This window comes from Homo sapiens, chromosome 1, assembly GCF_000001405.40.
Source record: "Homo sapiens chromosome 1, GRCh38.p14 Primary Assembly".
Lineage (NCBI taxonomy): Eukaryota > Metazoa > Chordata > Mammalia > Primates > Hominidae > Homo > Homo sapiens.
In genome coordinates, this window is record NC_000001.11 from 207,866,676 (window position 1) to 207,888,139 (window position 21,464).

General features: G+C 47.0%; 1 protein-coding gene across 2 annotated transcripts in view, besides 6 other annotated features; it reads right to left on the reverse strand.

Moving 5' to 3' along the window:
• Window positions 1,567-1,616: an enhancer, noted in NCBI's record as "active region_2456". NCBI's record gives its function as "activates an Ori minimal core promoter by ATAC-STARR-seq in GM12878 lymphoblastoid cells {active_cell/tissue: GM12878}" and the evidence as "EXISTENCE:reporter gene assay evidence [ECO:0000049][PMID:35858748]".
• Window positions 1,697-1,876: an enhancer, noted in NCBI's record as "active region_2457". NCBI's record gives its function as "activates an Ori minimal core promoter by ATAC-STARR-seq in GM12878 lymphoblastoid cells {active_cell/tissue: GM12878}" and the evidence as "EXISTENCE:reporter gene assay evidence [ECO:0000049][PMID:35858748]".
• Window positions 2,147-2,536: a silencer, noted in NCBI's record as "silent region_1776". NCBI's record gives its function as "represses an Ori minimal core promoter by ATAC-STARR-seq in GM12878 lymphoblastoid cells {active_cell/tissue: GM12878}" and the evidence as "EXISTENCE:reporter gene assay evidence [ECO:0000049][PMID:35858748]".
• Window positions 6,406-6,465: an enhancer, noted in NCBI's record as "active region_2458". NCBI's record gives its function as "activates an Ori minimal core promoter by ATAC-STARR-seq in GM12878 lymphoblastoid cells {active_cell/tissue: GM12878}" and the evidence as "EXISTENCE:reporter gene assay evidence [ECO:0000049][PMID:35858748]".
• Window positions 6,616-6,665: an enhancer, noted in NCBI's record as "active region_2459". NCBI's record gives its function as "activates an Ori minimal core promoter by ATAC-STARR-seq in GM12878 lymphoblastoid cells {active_cell/tissue: GM12878}" and the evidence as "EXISTENCE:reporter gene assay evidence [ECO:0000049][PMID:35858748]".
• Window positions 6,806-6,875: an enhancer, noted in NCBI's record as "active region_2460". NCBI's record gives its function as "activates an Ori minimal core promoter by ATAC-STARR-seq in GM12878 lymphoblastoid cells {active_cell/tissue: GM12878}" and the evidence as "EXISTENCE:reporter gene assay evidence [ECO:0000049][PMID:35858748]".
• The window catches only part of CD34 (CD34 molecule), a 30,154-nt gene continuing 22,986 nt past the window's right edge, over window positions 14,297-21,464 (reverse strand). The window contains exon 8 of one of the 2 annotated variants that reach the window (NM_001025109.2): window positions 14,297-21,248. In NM_001025109.2, coding sequence (NP_001020280.1) covers window positions 21,063-21,248 — 186 coding nt within the window. In that variant the 3' untranslated portion in view covers window positions 14,297-21,062. Of the gene's footprint in view, window positions 21,444-21,464 lie in introns of both variants that reach the window. The other variant, NM_001773.3, reaches the window with a different exon arrangement.

Genomic DNA, 21,464 nt, shown 5'->3' on the forward strand with positions numbered 1-21,464 from the left:
GCCCTTCCCCCTGCATCTACTCCAACTCCTACGCAACTGCCAACTGCCGAGCTGTGGGGGGAGACAGGGGATGCAGGAAGAGGGGAGATGATAAAGAAGACTGGGGAAAGGGGAGCATGATGAAAACATGCTGGGGTCTCTCTCTGATCCTTGGAAGCATAACCCTCTCAATGGGTCACAGGCGATTTAGAGAAGGAAGAGCCGGGAGGAGGAGCCAAATTTTTCCACTGAACGAAAGGCATGATTTTCATCACTGCTTCTGTTGCCCCGGTAACCAGGGACAGCCCAGTGGAGAGTACAGTAAAAGAACACCATGTTTATCTTTGCTGTCTGATCTACTTCCCTGTACACCCTTCCCTGACCATCCCCTAGCCCCAGGCCTGCTCCAAATCTCTTATAATGCCACCACCATCCTTCTAGTTACCCTTGCTCCTCAAAGGCAGAGCTAATTTCTCCCTCTCTTTATCCAACCCTAAGTACCATGTGTTCTTCCACTGCAACATTTTGGGGTTCATCTCGCCATGCCACCTGCCATGCCAGGGGTCCCCCAAAACAAAGAGCTGGTATCAAAGCACAAGGATGGCTTCTGCTCTACCAGACAGGGCAAGTGGGACTAGTGGGGCAGGAAGGTGAGGAAAACTGCCCAGCCAACCGTGTTCTCATCCCACACAGCTGGTGTGGAGAGGGACCTGGCTCTCCCAGCCCCCCTCCTATGGCTGAGATCAGGAGAAGGAGCCAGGTTGGGGATCGGGGGAGTAGGTTCACCCACAGGCTTCCACAGATCCTGCCTCCCACACGGACACCGTGTCTGCGTGACCTGAGAGCGGAGACACAGTGCTCGCCCTGGAAGATTATATAAGCGTTATATAACATGGTGGCACCAATAAGCACACAGGAGCAGTTGTCGAGTGCCAGGGACAGGCCAGGGGTGGAACCAAACCCAAGGGGCTGGAGGTTCAGCCCTCCTGCCACCAATGCCAAAGCAGCACCAGGCCCTGGCTGCCTCGGCCCTGTCTATACCTGCTCCTTCCAGCCCAGAGGACACAGAGAGAAACTTGCCAGGCTCTGCGCTCTTCTTCCCACTCTGGGCAGCAGGGAGGGGCCGCAAAACCGTCACCACCCTGGGCCATGGCAGCCTCTGCCCATCCGGCCTAAGGCAGCCTAGCTGCCTTTCCTGCAGGGGAGCAGCCATGGGGTCCTCGGCAGGGGAGGGGTGTGGACCAGTAGCCCCCTCCTCTCTGTCCTCCTACCAGAATGTAGGAGCACTTGTTTGGGGAACAAGTGCTGCAACAGCAGCTCCAGGATTGGCTGGGCCAGCCGTTCCTCTGCTCTGTCACTTGCTGTTTCTCTAAAAAACAAAACAAACCGAAAGGGAAAGAAAAAAAAATTAAGCACATTTGACAAATGCCAGATCCCAAATTTTGGTCTACGGTTGCAAAGCTGGAAGGAAGGGGTCCTAAGGAAATTACCCTATTTCCCTACAGCCCCCATCTCCCACCATTCCTGGCCAATTCACCATCTATGAACTTGGGCTGTGAGCCTGAAGATTGCTCCGCAGCCCCTATCTCTGGAGCTGCCTCAGTGGCTGTAGCTCCTTCGGGTAATATTCCCCCTCCCTCTACAGAATGCTCAGAGTCTGCGGCTCCCGGATATACACGCGGGACTAGGCGGCCGGCCTGGGGCAGTTCTGGGCAGTTTGGGCCAGGTCTTAATCAAACTCCTCCACCGTCATCACCACACCCACTTTATTAATTTGGCAGGGGTGGGGGCAGCTGAACAGAGACAGAGCCAAGTGATCTCCCGCAGCACCTGCCCTCTCCTGAGCTATGCCTCTGGCCTTCCCGCCTCCTCCTCCACACGGACCTCCGCGCCCCCTGAAGAAGGGGGGAAAAAGAAATACGCATTAATACCTCGAGCCTTGGCGCACCAGCCCTCGCCCCCTCAACCACCTGTCTCTGCGTTCTCCCCCGCAGCCTTCCTCAACTCTGGGCGCCCCCTCTGCAGCAAAGGGGCACCACGCCCACTGCGGAGAGGAGAAATGCAAGGTGGGGAGCGGACAGGGGCTCACTTGAGGGCCCGGGGGCTGCTCACTCACCCCTGCGCGCAGCTGGCCCTGGCCCCAGAGCCTGGGGCCCGCCCGGAGCTGCTCCAGGCCGCGACCGCTCCCACCCCCGCGGCGAGGCCAGCAGCGCCCCAAGGCCGCGCTGCAGCCGGGGTGGGGCGCGACCGGAGCGCGGCCGGGGCCCTGGGCATCGTCCCCAGGGAGCCCACCCTACCCCGGGACGCTCGGGGACCGCCCTGCAGGCCCGGCCCAAGGTGCCCACTCCCACCTGGCCGAGTCCCGGCTCTTACCTCGGCGGCCTTCCGCCCTCCGGGGGTACTGCGCAAACAGGCTCTCCCCCGGCCCCCGCCCGCCAAGCGCCCCGCTGCAGGCCCGAGATGCGCAGCCGCTGCGGACGCCGGCTCCGCGGCGGCCGCTTCCCGGGCGTGTGAGCTCAGCCTGCCCGCGCGCCCGCGCTTCCCACGCTCGGCGTCCCGCGCGGCGCCACCCAGCGGCCGCGTCGGGCGCTGCACGCTCGTGTCCGGGAAAATCTGCAGCAGCCGGGCCTGCCAACTGATTCGGAAATTCCCAGAATTTGACCATGGGCTTGCGGCGGGGCGGGAGACCTGTCAGGCCGTGTGGCCGTCGCTAGACTCGGGGCAGAGCAGCTCCCACCCACCCTGTCTCTGAAGGGGACTCCAGAGTCTTTGCAAGATATTCTGATTTCCCCCCTGTTCCTCTGACCTTGCCTCGCCATATTTCTTCCAGGGCAGTGGAGACTGTGGGGATGCTGGTGACTCCTTGTAAAATGGGGGTGGAGAATCGAGGGGTGGGAAATGGGTGGGAAGCGCTCGAGGCTGGCATCTCAAGGCCTCCATGGGCCCGTCTAGAGATCCGAGGTGTGCACTGAGTCACTTCCCGAGCTTGTTAGAACACACATGCACAGATGCCCCAGCCTACCTGTAAATTCTAATTCGGAAATTTCAACTGCTGTTTTTAACCTTTTCTTGTACCTACACCCTTCTGAGAATTGCAGAAGAGCTATGGACCCTGTCTTCAAAAAAAGCACATGCATACAGAAATATAATTTTGCACAATATTTCAGGGAATTCTGAAACTCCTCAAAGCTCCGTGGATCCCAGCTTAATATCTCACTTTGTGCAGATACCCTAAGCAGAAAGAGCGAGCTGGTGATTACCTGAATACGCTGCCATCTTATCTCATGCTTTTTCCTCCTTCAGGGATATCTCCACTGGACGCCCAACCTCACATTTCCGCCTGTAGAAATTCCACCTGTCCTTTAAGGCCAACTCGAAAACCTCTTCCTCTCTGATTTTCCCAATCAGCAATGTCATTTATGACCTCAGTTTTCTGAGAGTATGTCTTTTATGGCTGTTAACATGTTATAAACACACCTGTATTTATTTCTGTGGTTGGTTTTCTTATCTCCTTCTAGATAGCAAAACTGTTTTAAGATCAGTTTCTCCCTCTGCAACTACTAAGGGCCTTACATGGTATGCCTTCGACAAACAGTTCTTAAGTAATCAGAGAGATTGGATTGAGAGAATAGGAGGCCCAGCAAATGCCTTTGCTCTACCTGCACCTTTCCTCCCTTCCTGATGCTCCACCACATGGACCTCTAGGCGTCTGGAAAACAGAATCCTCAAGTTGATAGGCTTATCTCATTCATTCCTGCTCCTCCAGGCAAGGCAGCCATAATTTAGGGGTTCCTGGATGAAGTTGCAAGACAAGTTCATGCAGGACACACATACCAAATAGCAGATATTCTACCACCAGTGTCTCCTAGTCCAGTGAGGGATGTCCCCACCCGCCTGGTGCACAAGCAATGTGGATGTCATCCTTGACTTTTCCATCTCACTTCCCTCCTTTCTTGCACATATGCCAATCAATCACCACATCCTGATTCTACTTCCTAAATCTTAAATCTCTAAGATTGGCCCTCTCTTTATTCCTAGCTCATTCCACCATTATTTCTTGCTGGGATTTCTGCATTTGTCTCTAGCCTAACTCGCCTACCTGCCTCCAGCCTCACTAGGCCCAGATCCAGTCTCCACATCTGCTGTGTACTGAATGTCTGTATCTCCCTAAAGCTTGTTTGTGTGCTCTTTCTCTCTCTCTCCCTCTCTGCTTTCCAACACGGGAGGATACAGTGAGAAGATGGCCAACTGCAAACCAGGAAGCAGACCTTCTCCAGACACAGATCTGCTGATGCCTTGATCTTAGACTACCTTGCCTCCAGAATGGTGAGAAATAAATGTTGTTTAAGCCACTCAGTCTGTGGTATTCTGTTGTAGCAGCTTGGACTAAGACAATATCCCATTTAGAAGGATCTTGCAAATATATCAATCCTTTCCCTACGTAAAACTCTTATGCAGTTTCATTCTGGACTAAGGATGAGGTTCAAACTCCTTTGCCTGGCTCACAAGGCCTCCTAGATCTGGGCCCAACTGACTCTCCAGCCTCCTGTCTTGGCACAGCCTCCACTCTTACCTATATGCTTCACTTGTACTAAACACCATGTTTCTCTCCATCTTGATAAAAGTCCTCCCCCAATTTTTTTTTTGAGACGGCCTCACTCTGTCACTGTCACTGGGGTGCAGTGGTGTGATCTCAGCTCACTGCAGCCTTGATCTTCCCGGCTCAAGTGATTCTTCAAACTCAGCCCCTTGAGTAGCTGGGACTACAGGCATGCGCTACCATGCCCAGCAAATATTTTTGTATCTTGTAGAGACAGGGTTTTGCCATGTTGCCCAGGCTAGTCTCCAATTCCTGAGCTCAAGCGATTTGCCTGCCTCAGACTCCCATAGTGCTGAGATTACAGGCATGAGTTGCCGCACCTGGCTGTCCCCGACTTTTTGAGACTTTGTTTCACCTATTCCTCAGGTTTCCCAACTGTCTCCTCCTGCACCACCTGGCCCTTCCTCTGCTATAATATGAAAATCACAATATTGTTATTGTTCTTATATGACGTCTGCTTTCCCTGCCACACTAATACCTCTGCGATAGTATCCTCAATGCCTAGCACAATACCTAGTGCCAAATGGGAACACATAAATATTTATTAAATGAATGAAAGCTTTGAACATGGCACATAGCCCAGATGAGAGACTCTGGGGGTAAATGCAGTGGTGCTTCATAATCTAAAAGTCAGATAGGGTGGGACAGGCCTACTGCTTTTTAATAATAGCACTATTCACTGTTTTCAAGTGAATTTCAATCTTTCTGAGTTTTTTATTTCCTTATCTAAAAAATGAAAATAATAATAATTAGGGTTGCTCTGAAGGTGGCCAGAGATATATGTGTAACAAAGTATTTTGTAATTTTAAAATTCTCTCTCTCTCTCTCTCTCTCTCTATATATATATATGTTAGAAGTATTGTATTACTTCACTTGATCCTCACAATAACATTTTGAATAGACAGCTGACATTTCCTACTTTGCATATAAGGAAACTGAAGGTAGACATGGTAAAGCAATTTGCCTAAGGTCACCCAGATGGTTGCCAAGGAACAGAGGCCTGACATGGGATTTCAAGCTCAGACTCTCTCCGCCACATCACCACTGCTCCTCTCTCCATCCCCAAAGTAGGTATCGATGTTGGGACACGTACATGTTGACATCCTGAGGATCATGCAGCTCATAAATGTCACCACTGACCGCTTCTGAAGGGTTTTTATGTGTGTGTGGATGTGTTTGTTGAGGCACAGGGGGCAGAGGTGAGTTGTTGGTAGAAAATGGACTATATATCAACAGTTACCAAGATAGGAAAGAATGGGGTGGGGAGGAATTGGCCTTGGCCTTGGGTCTGACCCTATGCTCTCTATCTCTGCCCCTTCTCTTACTCTAATGGGGCTACCTCAATTGACAGCCCCCTTTACTGTGTAGTTGGACCCCCGCAGGCTCTGAGCTTCTCAGAAGCTGGAGATCTTCCATTTCCTCCATATTTTCAATTCTGTCCATCAGCAAATGTTTATTGAGCTCTTACCAAGTGCTTTGTCACAGCCCATGGAAGCCTGGCCAAATTGCTTAACCTCTCTGAGCCACAGTTTCCCCATTCTGCAAAATGGGATTGATAGCCCATCACATGGCTGTTGGGAGGATTAAGCAAGATAACCTATCAACTGTTGGTGAGCTGTTGCTAGTGGAGACACCTGCCCCCAAACCCCACCCTGTGTCTGCTATTTTTCATATGAATGCAAGGGGATGTCTGCTTAGTAACTAGGGGACAGAGCAGATCGGAGGAGCTGGGAAAGTGAGAAAAGGAGTATGAAGGCTGCAGTACTCCTCAATGTGCATTTGTCGGGGATATGTAGATGGCTGTGGGGCTCAGAGCTTGTTGGAACTCTTGAAGAATGACTTGTGAGTTTCTGGACCCAGGCAGAGCCCTTTGAGCTTGCAAAACAAGGTCAGGCACGGTGATGAGAGGCTTTCCCAAGCTCTTGGTGGGCGGGGAGCACGAACCACTGAGAGCCACAACAGGAGAGGCAGAGCAGAGCAGCCATCTTTTGGTGACCACAGCTGTGAGGGCTCATCTGAGGTCCCTTTTTGGGAACTCCCAGAAATAACTCAAGGGCATCTGAGAATGTAGATGAAATCATCAGACAAGATATTACAAACATAAAGAACGGAGGTGGTGCCAGGCACATAGTAGGAGCAGAGTGCCTCTGCCCCTCGGTCTTCTGATTATGCTGCCTTGGCACTAAGCATGTTTGTTTCTCACTGTGTCCTGTGCTGTAGGGAACACCCAGTGGAACTGCCCTTCACAGATCCCTGAGTGTGGTTACAGTGGTTTTTCTCTTTAAAGATTAAATCTTTTTTTCCCCTTTCTGCTCAACAAAGACAACAGCCTTTTGGTTTTTGATAAACGTTCTTTTCCTACTAGCAGGTGGATATGCCCGGGGCACTAAGAACTGTGCTTTTAAAACACACACAAGCCCAGCTGTTTGAATCTGCCACTTCTGTATGTCTTACTTCTCTTATCTCCTGCCCCCGGGGCTGAGTTTTCTCTGCCTTGGCAGGCTGATAACATGTGGAAGGAAGAGAACAGTTCTAATTAATAGACTAATTAGTGGTACAAGTCTTTAATAGCTGATTATAGGGAAGTCATTCCCCACCCCCCAAGTGATTGATTTATTTATTGCTGTTGTGCTGCATTATTGCAAAATAGTCAGCTTCTAATTATCTATTGGCTGGTTCAATCAAGCCTTTTCCTTCTCTTCCATCTTGTTCTTTCCCTTGCTAAGGGAAGGCACAGGCAGAATGGGAGAACTCAAGCCAGCTGATGACCAATTCTGGACAGATATAAGTGTTGGGATCCTACTGCCACTCCATCTTGAGTGCTTAGAGCTGGAAGGGGAATATGAGGTTCAAGGGAAAAGAAGGCAAGAAAATCCCACTCATTCTTCTAGGATAACGTCCCCATGGTGGCCATTCCCTCATCATCCCTCTGACTCTGCACGCCATAACTCACACACATTGTCAGTTGCATTAAAAAACAGTATAGTTAGGAAACAAGCATGAGAAGACACAAAAAGAAAAAAATTAAATACAAAATAGTGTAGCGTGGAGCTTAAAAGCATGCACTAGGCCGGGCGCAGGGGCTTACGCCTGTAATCCCAGCACTTTGGGAGGCCGAGGCAGGCAGATCACGAGGTCAGGAGATTGAGACCATCCTGGCTAACACGGTGAAACCCTGTCTCTACCAAAAACCACAAAAAATTAGCTGGGCGTGGTGGCGAGCTCCTGTAGTCCCAGCAACTGGGGAGGCTGAGGCAGGAGAATGGCGTGAACCCGGGAGGCGGAGGTTGCAGTGAGCCGAGATCACGCCACTGCACTCCAGCCTGGGTGACAGAGCGAGACTCCGTCTCAGGAAAAAAAAAAAAAAAAAAAGTGTGCACTGAAATTCAACAGCCTGGGTTCCACCTTGGCTCTCCCACTGGCTAGCTGTGTGATCTGGGGCAAGTCTCTTGACCTCACTGTGCCATATTCTCTAACCTCATTTGTAAAGTAGGAATATAATTGTTCCTCCCTAGGACTGTTGAGGATTAAATTTAAAAAGCTATGTAAAGCACTTAGCACAGTACCTAGTATATACTAAGCCCTCAAAAACATTAGCTATGACAATTACTACTGCCTGAAATTATTTAACTTACCTGACACATCAAAGGACTTTGGTAAATGTTTGTAGAATAAATGAGTGACTATATCGAAATTTTTAAGTAGATTGTGAGCCCTTGAAGTAAAAGGGGTGAAGAAAAGAGGAAATTGAACATTAAGTCATAATAATAAGGGCTATTTTAAGTTGAAAGCTTATCAAGAAGTGGGCTCTGAGCTACTTGCTTTAGTACATTCTCTCATTTAATCCTTATGTAACTTAATTTTTACCCGCGTTCTTGAATCATGTTTTATTAACAACCCAAGTCTGGAAAGTCCATGTTTTCCCAAGATATATTTTTATTTTATTTTATTTTTTTTACTTTGAGACAGAGTCTTGCTCTGTTGCCCAGTCATAGCTCACTGCAGACTCGAACTCCTGGGCCCAAGCGATCCTCCAGCCTCAGCCACCTGAGTATCTGGGGTGAGAGGTGCAAGCCACCATGCCTAGCTAAATTTGTTGTTGTTGTTGTTGTATTTTTTGTAGAGACGAAGTCTTGCTTTATTGCTCAGGCTGATCTCGAACTCCCAGCTTCAAGTGATCCTCCTGCCTTGACCTCTCAAAGTGCTAGGATTACAAGTGTGAGCCACCACACCCAGCCAAGATTTCCAAAAACTCTTGGGGCATGGAGTGACATTTTTTGTGATCACTTTTCCTTATGAATTCCTGCTCCAGCTGAATTTGGGCACTTTCACCTGCCTGCTGACAATGTTGTCCTCTTATCACATCACTCTCATTCATGGCAAGCGGGCCCCTTCTTTTCTTCTTTCCCCAAAGACTCCCAGGACTTAAGGTCATTTTGCCTGGAAGACTTTAACTAAAGGTCAGGGCAACATAGGACTGTGACAGCACCACTCGGACCAGGAAGTGCTGAAAATCGTCACACTAGCGTGCCCAGCACCCTTTTTCCTGGCTGCTCTGCCTCCCAGAGCCCTGCCTGCAGCCATTTCTCCCTTTCCCCAATCCTTTCCCTCCATCTCTCTACTGCCCTCCACCTCTCCCTGAAAATATCTGATTACTGTTACTTTATTATACAAAGGAAATTTAACTCTTTTGAACAAACATCTCCATTCTGGGCTATTCTCACTCTGAGATCAGAGAAGGAGCTGAGAATTGGATCCTCAGCTGCTTTTCTTAACCAAAAAAGTTGAACAAAGTGTTTATTCCTCCACAAATGAGTGAAGCACCTCTGTGAGGAATCCTGCTCCCCCCAGAATGAAGAAATATGGCAATCATTTTTTACATTACATTTTTTTCTTCCTGTTATACATATGGTAATACTATGAGGTGGATATTAGCCCTTGCCCCCTTTTTTTTCAGATGAGGAAACCAAGGATGGAAAAGGTTAAAAAAGTAATCTGCTCAAAGTGACATAGCTAACATGTCAGAGCTGGACCCCAAATGCAGGCATGTCTGACTCCAAAGCCAGAGGGGGTGACCACGACACCATGTGGCCGCTCGGTGCAGCTCAAGCAGGTCTGAAGTGGGTTGCATCCCCAGGGTGAATCTTACTCAGGAAACCTTTCACGGGGGACACTGTATGGGTCAGAGGAAGGTGAATTGATTGACTGAAGGCCAAATACATTAAAACAGAGTTAGAGCTAGGAATAGCTACCTATGTATAGCTTCATGTCTGAGACCCAAGAAGAGATGTTGCTATTAATCACTGCTGAATGATTACCCTGATTGCTTCATTTGTTGATGCTGCAGTTGCTGAATTTTACTGTGCTCTATTCAACCTTGAGTAGGGCCCCCCTCTCTAGGAAGCTAAGGCAGATTTTCTTTTGCTTGTGGAGTGCTGACTTCACATGTAAAACTGCCAATGACAAGTTGGTTGCCCATTGATGTCTAAGAATGCTAGCCAGGTAGCTGAAGCTCTTCTAAGAAGCTCAATAAATAGCTATGGAATGAATGAAAGAATGTCTCACTTTAATTTGTCAGTTCTCTTTCTAAGGACTTACCCAAGGCAGTGGGGGCTGAGGGGTGAGTTAGGCAGAACCAGATGAAGGAGCATCCCAGCTAGGAAGCGGGCTGGGTCACCACAATCATAAGGGATTCAAGAATATCACTGGAAATGGAGCAAGGTTGCAAAAACTGAATTTATCAGAACTCTTCCCAGAAACGGTAATGAATGTAGGTGGAGAGAATCTTTTTTTTCTTTTTCTTTTTCTTTTTTTTAAGACGGAGTCTCGCTCTGTCGCCCAGGCTGGAGTGCAGTGGGGCGATCTCGGCTCCCTGCAAGCTCCGTCTGCCGGGTTCACGCCATTCTCCTGCCTCAGCATCCCGAGTAGCTGGGTCTACAGGCGCCCGCCACCACGCCCGGCTAATTTTTTGTATTTTTAGTAGAGACGGGGTTTCACCGTGTTAGCCGGGATGGTCTTGATCTCCTGACCTCGTGATCCGCCCACCTCAGCCTCCCAAAGTGCTGAGATTACAGGCATGAGCCACCGTGCCTGGCCAAGAATTTTCTTTTTTAAAGACAGGGTCTCACTGTGTTGCCTAGGCTGGAGTGCTGTGGTGCGATCATGGCTCACTGCAGCCTTGACCTCTTTCCTGGGCTCAAGTGATCCTCCCACCTCAGCCTCCTGAGTATCTGGGACTACAGGTATGCGCCGTCACACCTGGCTAATTTATTTTTATTATTTTTTATTTGCATAGAGACAGATCTTGCTATGTTGCGTAGGCTGGTCTTGAACTCCTGGCCTCAAGCAATCCTCCTACCTCAGCCTCCCAAAATGCTGGGATTATAGCCATGAGCCACCATGCTAGCGGAGAAAATTATTTAATATATCACTGGTGGAACGGTCAGGAGGATTTTGCCACATATTAGCAATGTGACTTTGGCTTTCTCATACCTAAAATTAGGATTGTGATACTCATTGTACTTTTCCCCTCAATAAATGTGATAATGGAAAAATTACAGCTTTTCTAATTTGCCCTTTGGCCTACTATAATCTGGTCTCTGCCCTCCCCCACTCTCCTGACTGCTTTCACCAAGGTTATAAATCACCTCTTTGTTGAAAATTCCAATCCTCTGCCATTCAGTAGTATTAGCCACCGTATTCCAGGCTGTCTTCCATGACATATTCTCAAGATCCCAGGCTCATGGTTCTCCTGTCTCGACATATTCCCTTCTAACTCACCTTTGAGGTTTGTCTGTGTTCGTTATCTGTTGCTGCATAACAAATTACCCCAAAATTCAGAAGCTTAGAACAACATGGATAAAATGTGGCACATATACACCATGGAATACTATGCAGCCATAAAAAATGATGAGTTCATGTCTTTTGTAGGGACATGGATGAAGCTGGAAACCATCATTCTCAGCAAACTATCGCAAGGACAAAAAACCAAACACCGCATGTTCTCACTCATAGATGGGAATTGAACAGTGAGAACACATGGACACAGGAAGGGGAACATCACACTTTGGGGACTGTTGTGGGGTGGGGGGAGGGGGGAGGGATAGCATTAGGAGATATACCTAATGCTAAATGACAAGTTACTGGGTGCAGCACACCAGCATGGCACATGCATACATATGTAACTAACCTGCACATTGTGCACGTGTACCCTAAAACTGAAAGTATAATAATAATAAAAAAAAAACATGGATTCTCTCACACAGTTTCTTGATTTTTTTTTTTTTCTGACAAAATCTTGCCCTGTTGCCCAGGCTGGAGCGCAGTGGCACAAACACAGCTCACTGCAGCCTCAACCTTCTGGGCTCAAGCAATCCTTCTGCCTCACCTCCTGTGTAGCTGGCACTACAGGCACGTGCCATCATGCCTGGCTAATTTTTTAATTTGTTGTGGAGACAGGGGTTCTCATTATTTGCCTAGGCTGGTCTCAAACTCCTGGCCTCAAGCAATCCTCCCACCTCAGCCTCCTAAAGGGTTGGGTTTACAGCATGAGCCACCATACCTGGCCTCACGCAGTTTCTTAGGGTCAGCAATCTGGAGCAATTTAGCTGGGTGGAATGGCTTACCTGAGTTGTCTCGCTTGGGATGTCTCATGAGATTGCAGTTGTACTGTTTATGTATTTATTTGTGTTTAATTTAAAACTTTTTTTTAAAGGATACTCTTCTAAGGTTTTCCAAGCTTCCTCACATGGCTGTTGGGAGGAGGTTTCAGTTCTTCCCCACATGGAACTCCCTGTAGCCTACCATGACATGATAGATGGCTTCCCCCAGAACAAGGGATCCACAAGAATGAGCATGTAGCAAGCCTAGATGAAAGCCACAATGTCTTTTATGATGTAATCTCAGGAGTGACATGCCATCACTTCCACCCCTCTTGTCTGACAGGCCAACACTGATACAGTGTGAGAGGGGCTGACTACACAAAAGCCTGCCTGTGAAGAGGTGGTGTCATGGGCCACCTTGGAAGTTGTCTACTCCAATATCCTTCTTTGCTGACCCTGAAATGTCAGTGTCCGCCAGGATTTCATCCTCACACCTCATCTCTTCTCATTCTCCACACATGCCCTTGATACTCCAGGGTCCCCCAGTACCTTCCATTACCATCTAGATTCTAAAGACACCCATGTCTGCATCTTTACCACATTTCCCTCTCAAAAACTTCAGGGTTGCACGTTGCCTGTTGGAGCCCAGAGCACCTCAAAGTCCACACACTCCATAACGAACTCATCATCCCTCCAATTCGATTTCTCCTCTTGCACTTCCCTCTTGGGAAGGACAGTGCTGTCTACTCTGTTGCCAGGCAAGGAACCAGAAAGTCACTCCCTTTCTCTCATATCTAATCAGTGATTACCAAGACTTTTTAAAGTTTTTTTTTTCTTTTCATTTTTTCCCCATCTTTTTATTTTGAAAATTGTCAAACCTACAGAAAGGGCTGGAAGAAGACTAAAATGATTCATCATTTACTAGATTGCTTTCATGTAGATTCAAAATTGCTAATATTTTGTCTCATATTTGCTTTTTCTCCCCTTTCCCTCTCTCCATATATATTTTTTTCATAATACTACTAAGATGCTATTTACCTTTTCACTCTTATTATCTCACAGATATACTGTGTATGTGTGTATGAATATGATGGACATTTGAAAGTAAATTACAGACATTATGGCCCTTCATCCCTAAAGATTCCTGTGTGCATCTCTTAGAAATAAGAACATTCTCTTACATAACCAAAATGCCATTATTACACCTAAGAACCAAATCCAGTTGATTTCATCTTTCCACTATGGTCTCCAATTTATTTATTTATTTGTTTGTTTGTTTGTTTATTATTTTTTTGAGACAGAGTCTCACTCTGTTGCCCAGACTGGAGTGCAGTGGCATGATCTCGGCTCACTGCAATCTTTACCTCCCGGGTTCAAGTGATTCTTGTGCCTCAGCCTCCTGATTAGCTGGGATTACAGGCAGGCGCCACCATGCCCGGCTACTTTTGTATTTTTAGTAGAGGCAGGGTTTCACCATTTTGGCCAGGCTGCTCTCGAACTCCTGACCTCAAGTGATCCACCTGCCTCAGCCTCCCAGAGTGCTGGGATTACAGGCGTGTGCCACTGCGCCCAGCCATATGTCTCTGGTTTAGCCACTTTTCTTCAGGCCACAGTCTTCCTACCCTTCAATAATGCAATCACCTCCTAACCCTAACTGGTTCCTTCTTCAGTCCATGCTCCACACTGAAGCCAGAGTAAGCTTTCTAAAATGCAAATCTGATATGTCACTTCTCTACTTCAGACTTTTCAATGGCTCTACATTACCTTCAAAATAAAGAATAAGCTTTACATGACACACAAAGCCTTCATCATCTAAATTCATCTACAGCAGTACACTCCAGGAGAAATAAAATGTGAACCACGTATGTCATTTTAAATGTTCTATTATCCACATTCTAAAGATTTTAATAAATATAGCTTAAATTAATTTTAAAATACATTTTATTTAACCCAATATATCAAAAATATTATCATAGCAAAAAATACTCAATATAAAAACTATTAATGAAATATCTTACATTATTTTTTTCTAAGTCCCCAAAATCTGTCATGTATTTAACATATACAGCATATCTCAATTCAAATGCTAAATTTTGAAGGGTTAAAGTGAAATGTATTCCTACCAAAACTATAAGGTCATGTTTAACAACAACAACAAAACATTTTATGAGGTTCCAGTTTTTAAATTTGAGTTTATTAAATTACATATAGCTGGAAGTCCTGTCTCTCATTTGCACTAGCCACATTACAAGTGCTCAGCAGCCACATGTACTTAGATGCTACTGAAATAGTAACATATCTAGAGCCGCGGTTCTCAAAGCATGATCCAAGGTCCTCTGGGGGTTCCCTAAAACATTTCCAAGTGGTCTCTGAGGTCAAAACAATTTGAATAATAATACTACAAATCTATTTTCCTTTTTCACATTCATTCTTTCACAAGTATACAGTGGAGTGTTTCAGAGGCTACCCATCATATCACAACAGATTGAATACAGAAGCAGATAAAAGAATCAGCATTCGGGGGCTGGGCGCGGTGTCTCACACCTGTAATCCCAGCGCTTTGGGAGGCTGAGGTGGGTGGATCATGAGGTCAGGAGATCGAGACCAGCCTGGCTAACACGGTGAAACCCCATCTCTACTAAAAATACAAAAAAATTAGCCGGGCGTGGTGGCGGGTGCCTGTAGTCCCAGCTACTTGGGAGGCTGAGGCAGGAGAATGGCGTGAACCCGGGAGGCAGAGCTTGCAGTGAGCCGAGATCACACCACTACACTCCAGCCTGGGTGACAGAGCGAGACTCCGTCTCAAAAAAAAAAAAAAAAAAAAAGAATCAGCATTCTTCTCTTCAGCCAGATATTAGAGAGATTTACCAAAGTCTAAAACAATGACACTCTTTTTCCTAATTGTTTTTGTTTTGGAAAATATAATTATTTTTCATTAAGAAAAGCATTACTTACATTATCATGTAATTGAATAATTATTGTTATTTTTAAACAAATTAATAAATAAAATTTTCTCAATTTTAATTTTTGAAACAGTAATAATTGATAGATGTAACTTTCAAAATCAAAAGCTCTTTGAAGTTCTAAATTTTTAAGAGTGTAAGAGGGCTTTGAGAATAGCTGGTGTAGAACCTGCCTAACTCTCCAGTCTCATGGCTTGTAATTTCCTCTCCTCTCTCTTATATTCGACTTGAACTTCCAGTTCCAGACAAGATGGAGTGGACACACTTTTTCTTATGCCTCCTGTTAACTAACTCTAAAAACCCTGGACATTATATATAAGTCAAACATAGGGAGACTCCGATATGTAGAGAGAAGAAGGCAGAATTGGGAGGGACTTTTGGACTCAAGGAATGACATGGCACCAGGGTGGTATCAGCAGAGATCTACTGGGAAGCCTGAACTTCTAACCTGGGCCAGCAATAATGAGGTACCCCCTTCACCCCATCCCACCTCTCTGCCCTGAAGGTGTCAACAGCTGAATGGGGAACCTGGACCCACCAGTGTGGTATCAAAGGAGGGGTGCTAAACAGAATCTTTCAATAAGATCCAGTCTTTCAACATAAATCCCAAATTTCCAGATGCAATTAAAATCACTGGTAATACCAAGAACCAGGAAAATCTCAATTTGATTGAGAAAAAACCATTAACAGATGCCAACATTGAGATGATAAAGATGTTGAAACCATCTGACAAGAATTTTAAAACAGACAGCCATCATAAACATGCTTTAATGAGCAATTGCAGCATGCTTGAAACAAAAGAACAGAAACACTCAGCAAAGAAATAGAAGGTATAAAGAAGAATCACATGCTTTGCTTGAGCCTTAAAAGAATCACTCACATTTCTGGAACAATCACCCTCACTTTGCTCCTGGGACAAGGCTTCTTCCTCTCTCGGGAACACCCATATCTCTCCTTTTCTCCTCTTTAACTCCTGCTTGACCAAAGGATCAGTCCAGACGTCACTTCTCCTGGGAAGCCTTCCATGGTCTTCCACGGCTTCCATGCCCCTCCCACTCAGAGCTTCCTATACCATAGCACTTACACTCAATGCATATTGTTCTGTCATCTGTCCCTCCCACATCCACCCAATGTAAAGACTTGACAGAAGGGACTATGTCTTATCCCAGGTGCCTGGCATAGTACCTGGCTTATAATAAGCACTCAAATATTTTTTGAATAAATGAATAAATTAATGAATAAATGGAAACTCTTCTGTGGCTCCTCTTCTATTGGATAAAATTAAACTCTGTGGTTTAGCTTTAAACACCCTACACAAACTGTGACACCCGGATCTTTCTGGTACTCGGCTTCCCTTAACACATTCTACTTCTCTGTCATACCAGAAAACACATTGTCCTTTGACAGTACCTTATCTTTCCCCATCACTACATATTGTATGTACTCTTCTATCAGTCTCAAATGTCCTTACTCATTACTATCATCAAAATCGTATTCATTTTTACAGGACCCACTCAGAAACCACCTGTTCATGACCCAGTCTCAGATCTTCTCAGCTGGAAAGGGTCCTGCCCACATCTAGATACAAAGCACTTCATTTAGTCTTTCCTCGTGTTATTTCTCACTTTCTGTTGTGCATTTTTTTTCTTGCTTCTTTGTTTAAATGTGTGTTGTATTATCCCCAAGATTTAAACATTTGGGGTTCAAATAAACTCACATCCTATTCATCTTTGCCTCTGCCACTGTGCACGTAACACAGTCCCTTGTTATTCTCTGAGTTTCAGTTTCTTTTTCTGAGATAATAGAACCTACTTCACAGGGTTTCTGTGAATGTTAAGTAAAATATGCTATTTAAATATTGGCACCATATCTCAATTTTCATACAGTAAGCACTCAAAAACTGTTAGCTACTATCATTGTAAATATGATTATTATTTGAAGAAATAAATAGACTGAGCAAGTCCTGTTACCTCTACTTTGAAACCACTTTTTGAATTCTGCTTGATCTCATCACTGCCAATATGATCACCTGCTCCCAGCCATGATCGTTCTTCTTGCTACGGTCTCCTTCTACTTTCTTATCCCTCAACCTCTATTCTCTACTCAGCAGCCAGCATGATCCTTTTAAAACATAAAGCAGATGATATGACTTCTCTGCTCAAAACCCTCCAGTGGCTTCCCAATCTACAACTAAAAAGGCCCCATGTAGTCTGACCTCCTGCCTCTCCCCACCCCCACTCACTGACACAACCTCATGGCCATCTTGCCCCCTGCCATCTGAGGCTTTCTGCACTTGGCAGCTTTTCATCATAGGGCTTTGCACTTGTCCTTTCCCCTGTGTGGGATAATCTCTCCCAGCTTGGCATACAACCTGCTTCTCCACTTCATTCAAGTGAAGCTGTGCTCTCCACTGTTATTTTTCTAAAAGTAACCACCATATGTAAAATACCAACCATTATTCTCAATATATTTTATGTTTTTCATAGCTCTCAATCCTGAAAACACATGTATATACTTACTGAGATGACATTGTTTACTGTCCTCTTCTGCTAGAATTATAAGCTTCATGAGTGTTTGCTGTATCCCCAGTCTCAAGAACAGTGTCTGGCACATAACAGATGTTCTGGCACATTTCGCGCAGTGTCTGGCACATCATAAGACTTGATGAATGATTGAATGGTGGCTGGAAGCCTCTTCGATGGGGGCTTTAGGAAGAGAAGCAGCATCCTGTTGCACAAAATCGATGACCTATTACTGGTTTTGTGTGAAGAGGAAGTGTGGGATTAATCTACCTAGAAGGGATGAGATGGAAGTGATCTATTTATCTGGACTTAGATGGTATTCCCATTTATCCATTCAGATGAAAATCTGGCTGAAGATAATTCCAGATATGCTCTCCATAGTCAACAGTGTAATACCCTACAGCTAATTTTCCTGGGCTCACTGTGGGCGCCGAAGAAGCCGAACCTCATGGCCTCCTGTGATCTTTGTCCTGGGGCTCCTCCAGGACCTGCTTGGCTGGCCAGGCCTAGGATAGCTTATGTTGATGAAATGCTCCAGAAGTGAAGTCCCAAACCTATCTTCACACTGCCACACTGGCTTCATGACATCCAACTGGAGTAACACGGAGGACTCGGCAGAAGAGTAGGATGATATGATGGAAGGGAAAACTACAGATTCAGGACTTTGGAATTCTGGGTGATTGGGCAAGCCACCTCCCTTCTCTGAGCCTTAGTTTGTCTTTAACTATACCATAAGGGAGTTTAATTAAATGTATCTTTAAAGTTCTCTTCAACAGTGACGTTCTATAGTTATATGAGCTTTGTGTACAAGAGAAATTGGACTAGAGGGTGGGGCAGCCAGGGAGAGAAGCCCAACATGGAGGCGATTGAGCTGAGGCTGAGCAGTAGGACCTCAATAAGGCCAGCAGGTGGCGCCATTGCTGTACCAGGACGCTCAGGCCCACGGTGGGAAAGTTGGATTTTTCCAGAAAGCAGGCAAATTCTTCAGGGCAAGCTGTCCAGCTGTCAGAGGGAACCAGCTGCCCCACCCCACCCCGCAATACACACACAGCCCTTCCTCCCAAAGCATACATACACATTCCAGCAAACTCAGGGTGAGATGCATTGCAGGTTGCTAGGCCTGAAGCTGGAGGTGCATCCAAGTTGCCTTTTCCTCTCCTCCCATATTTCCTAGGAATCTGAACCCTGAACCCACCCCTCCTACTTGATGTCCTAGCTGGGACAGACCCTCACTGGATTACTCTCAAGGCAAGATGTGCAACTAGATGCAAGTGGGCTGGACTTCCCTACTGATTACCATCGTCTTTTGCTCATCATCCTTTGCTCCAACCCTCAAGGCAGCCATCGCCTTTGAGGGAAGACTCTGAACCTCATCATTTCGCCTCCCCTCTGTCCTAGGGAAGAACCTATGATTAGAGGAGTTGGAGAAAAGCAAGAAGGAGATGGGGGTGGAGGAGTGCTGAAGGGAAAGGTCTGGCTTTATGGAGATAAGAATGGAAGAATCAACCTTTGTTTGGCCCCAACTGCCTCTGCCACTGTCGACACACTTGGGAGTGTTTCCTGGAGCTCCTCAGCACTCCCTCCCCAACTTCCTATGGCCTGGTAGGGGTGGGGTGGGGGTTGTTTTGGAAGCTGGGGGGAGGTACATGCTTACAGATTTTTTTTTTAATTAGGCTGCTGTCTTAATCTTGAGGGTGGAAACCAGCCCCCTCCCTGAGTTGGCTGCCAGGTCTCTAGAACAACAGTCCCCACATAGTCCTTCACTGTGTCTACTCTGACCTGGGGGGCTGGGGAGGGGGGTGGCCTGATAATAAAGGGTGCACAGGACATTGCCCCTTCCCTTTGTTTTGCATATTTTGCAGCAGTGATCAGCATGCTCCTCTTCTCAGAAGGGTGTTCATGAAGGGTACAGCTCCTAAGAACCCAACATACCACCCTCCATTTGGAAGCTCCCTGGTACATTCGGGTCTGCCTTTCTACCACTGGAAATGGATGTTTCCTCTCCCCATGGAGGAGAATAGTTGGCAGACTTGGCTAAAGGTCCTTAGCATCCTGGCTGGTGCCTGTGTCTGCTGAGGTGCTCCCTCTTCCCTGGCTGGTCCTCCCCACCACATCACTGCACAGTCTAGCTAGGTCTAATGGAGGGTGTCACTCTTGCATGCAGACACACCCAGCTAAGACAGAGTCACATAACAGATGTGTTTCAGTATCACTTTAATTGCAGTATTTAAACACATCACTTTGTATTCAGAAAAAATATCTACCCAATACTCTCTTCTCTGGAAATTTCTATTTCCAACCGTCATTGAAACCAGGATCCCTGCTCAACCCCTCTGGAAAGAAATCAACAGCAAACAAGGACCTGGGTCACCCACAGAAGAGGCAGCTGGTGATAAGGGTTAGGAGCTGATCTGGGCTATGACCATATGGGGGTGCAGAGCAAGGAAGGGGCTCAGGGTGAGGGAGGCAGAGACAGAAAAGCATCTGTTGGGGGACTGAGGCAACAGCTCAACCCAGGAGTCGGCAGGAGGGAGGAGGAAGCCATGGAGATCAGAGGATAAGGCTAGGATCCAGCCTCAGAGGAAGAGGATTTTTCGGAAGAGTACAGGTGAGAGGCTCAGCTCCAAGACCTGGTCCCATGGTCCTGCCTACTTTGATCCAGAGGGAGAAAAAGGAGCCCAAAAAGAGTTTCTGTGTGGCCCCAGAGAGACTAGAACTGAGCTGTTTGTCCTAAAACTTGGGAGGCCTGTTCTAGGCTCCAGCCAGAAAACTGTGCAGGACTCTGCAAATGGTAGAGGGGGCACATGGAGCTCAGTGGAACTTAGAGAACAAGGGAGGAGCTGGTGACCAAGTCCACAGTGTCTTGGAGGAGAGATGAGGGAAGTGGTTCAAGGCAACACGTTTTTCTGGCTATATCATTACAAGAGAGCAGGTGCAAAAGGTTACTTTGGTTTCCTCAAAGTAGAGAAAGAAAATACAGGGAAGAAACGGTAAAAATCAAAGCTTCCTGGGAGAAAATTGTAGCCTAGAAAAGCTCATCTTTCCCCTGGGGGTTCCTGTATTGCGGCAGAGAGGAGGGGGTAGGGGAAGGGGGTCCTGTGTGAGTGCTGCAAGGCCATCGATTGTTCCTGGGAGCTTCTCCAGACCTTGGCTTTCCCCCGTCACACGTTTACCCAAAGAAGACCAGAGTCTGGCTCCAGGGAGCCGAATGTGTAAAGGACAGGAGTTTACCTGCCCCTCCTCAAGGTGTAGGGCCCCAAGAACAGCCTCTGAGGTGTGTGCAGTGGGGAAGGGTTGGGCGTAAGAGATGTCACCTCCAGCATGGGGGTAGCACGTGGTCAGATGCAGAGAGGGGTGCTCTCTCGGACACTGCCCAGCCTTGCCCCACCTAGCCGAGTCACAATTCGGTATCAGCCACCACGTGTTGTCTTGCTGAATGGCCGTTTCTGGAGGTGGCCTGGCCGGTCCCGTTTTCCTGAGCCCCTCGGTTCACACTGGCCTTTCCCTGAGCCTCAGGGGAGGTCCCAGGTCCTGAGCTATAGCCCTGGCCTCCACCGTTTTCCGTGTAATAAGGGTCTTCGCCCTAGACAGTGTATAAATAAAGTAGCATTATCTGGTAAGCAGGGCTGTGAGACACTGGATGGGAGAGGGGCCCAAACAGGAAGTGGGGGCAGGGGTGGGAGAAGGGGGAGGGGGAGGTGGGAGGAAGGATCGGAGGGAGGGTGCAGCTGCATGTGCAGACTCCTTTCTTCCTGAAGAGTGGTCAGGGTTCCAGCTCCTAGAGGAGAAAGGACATAGG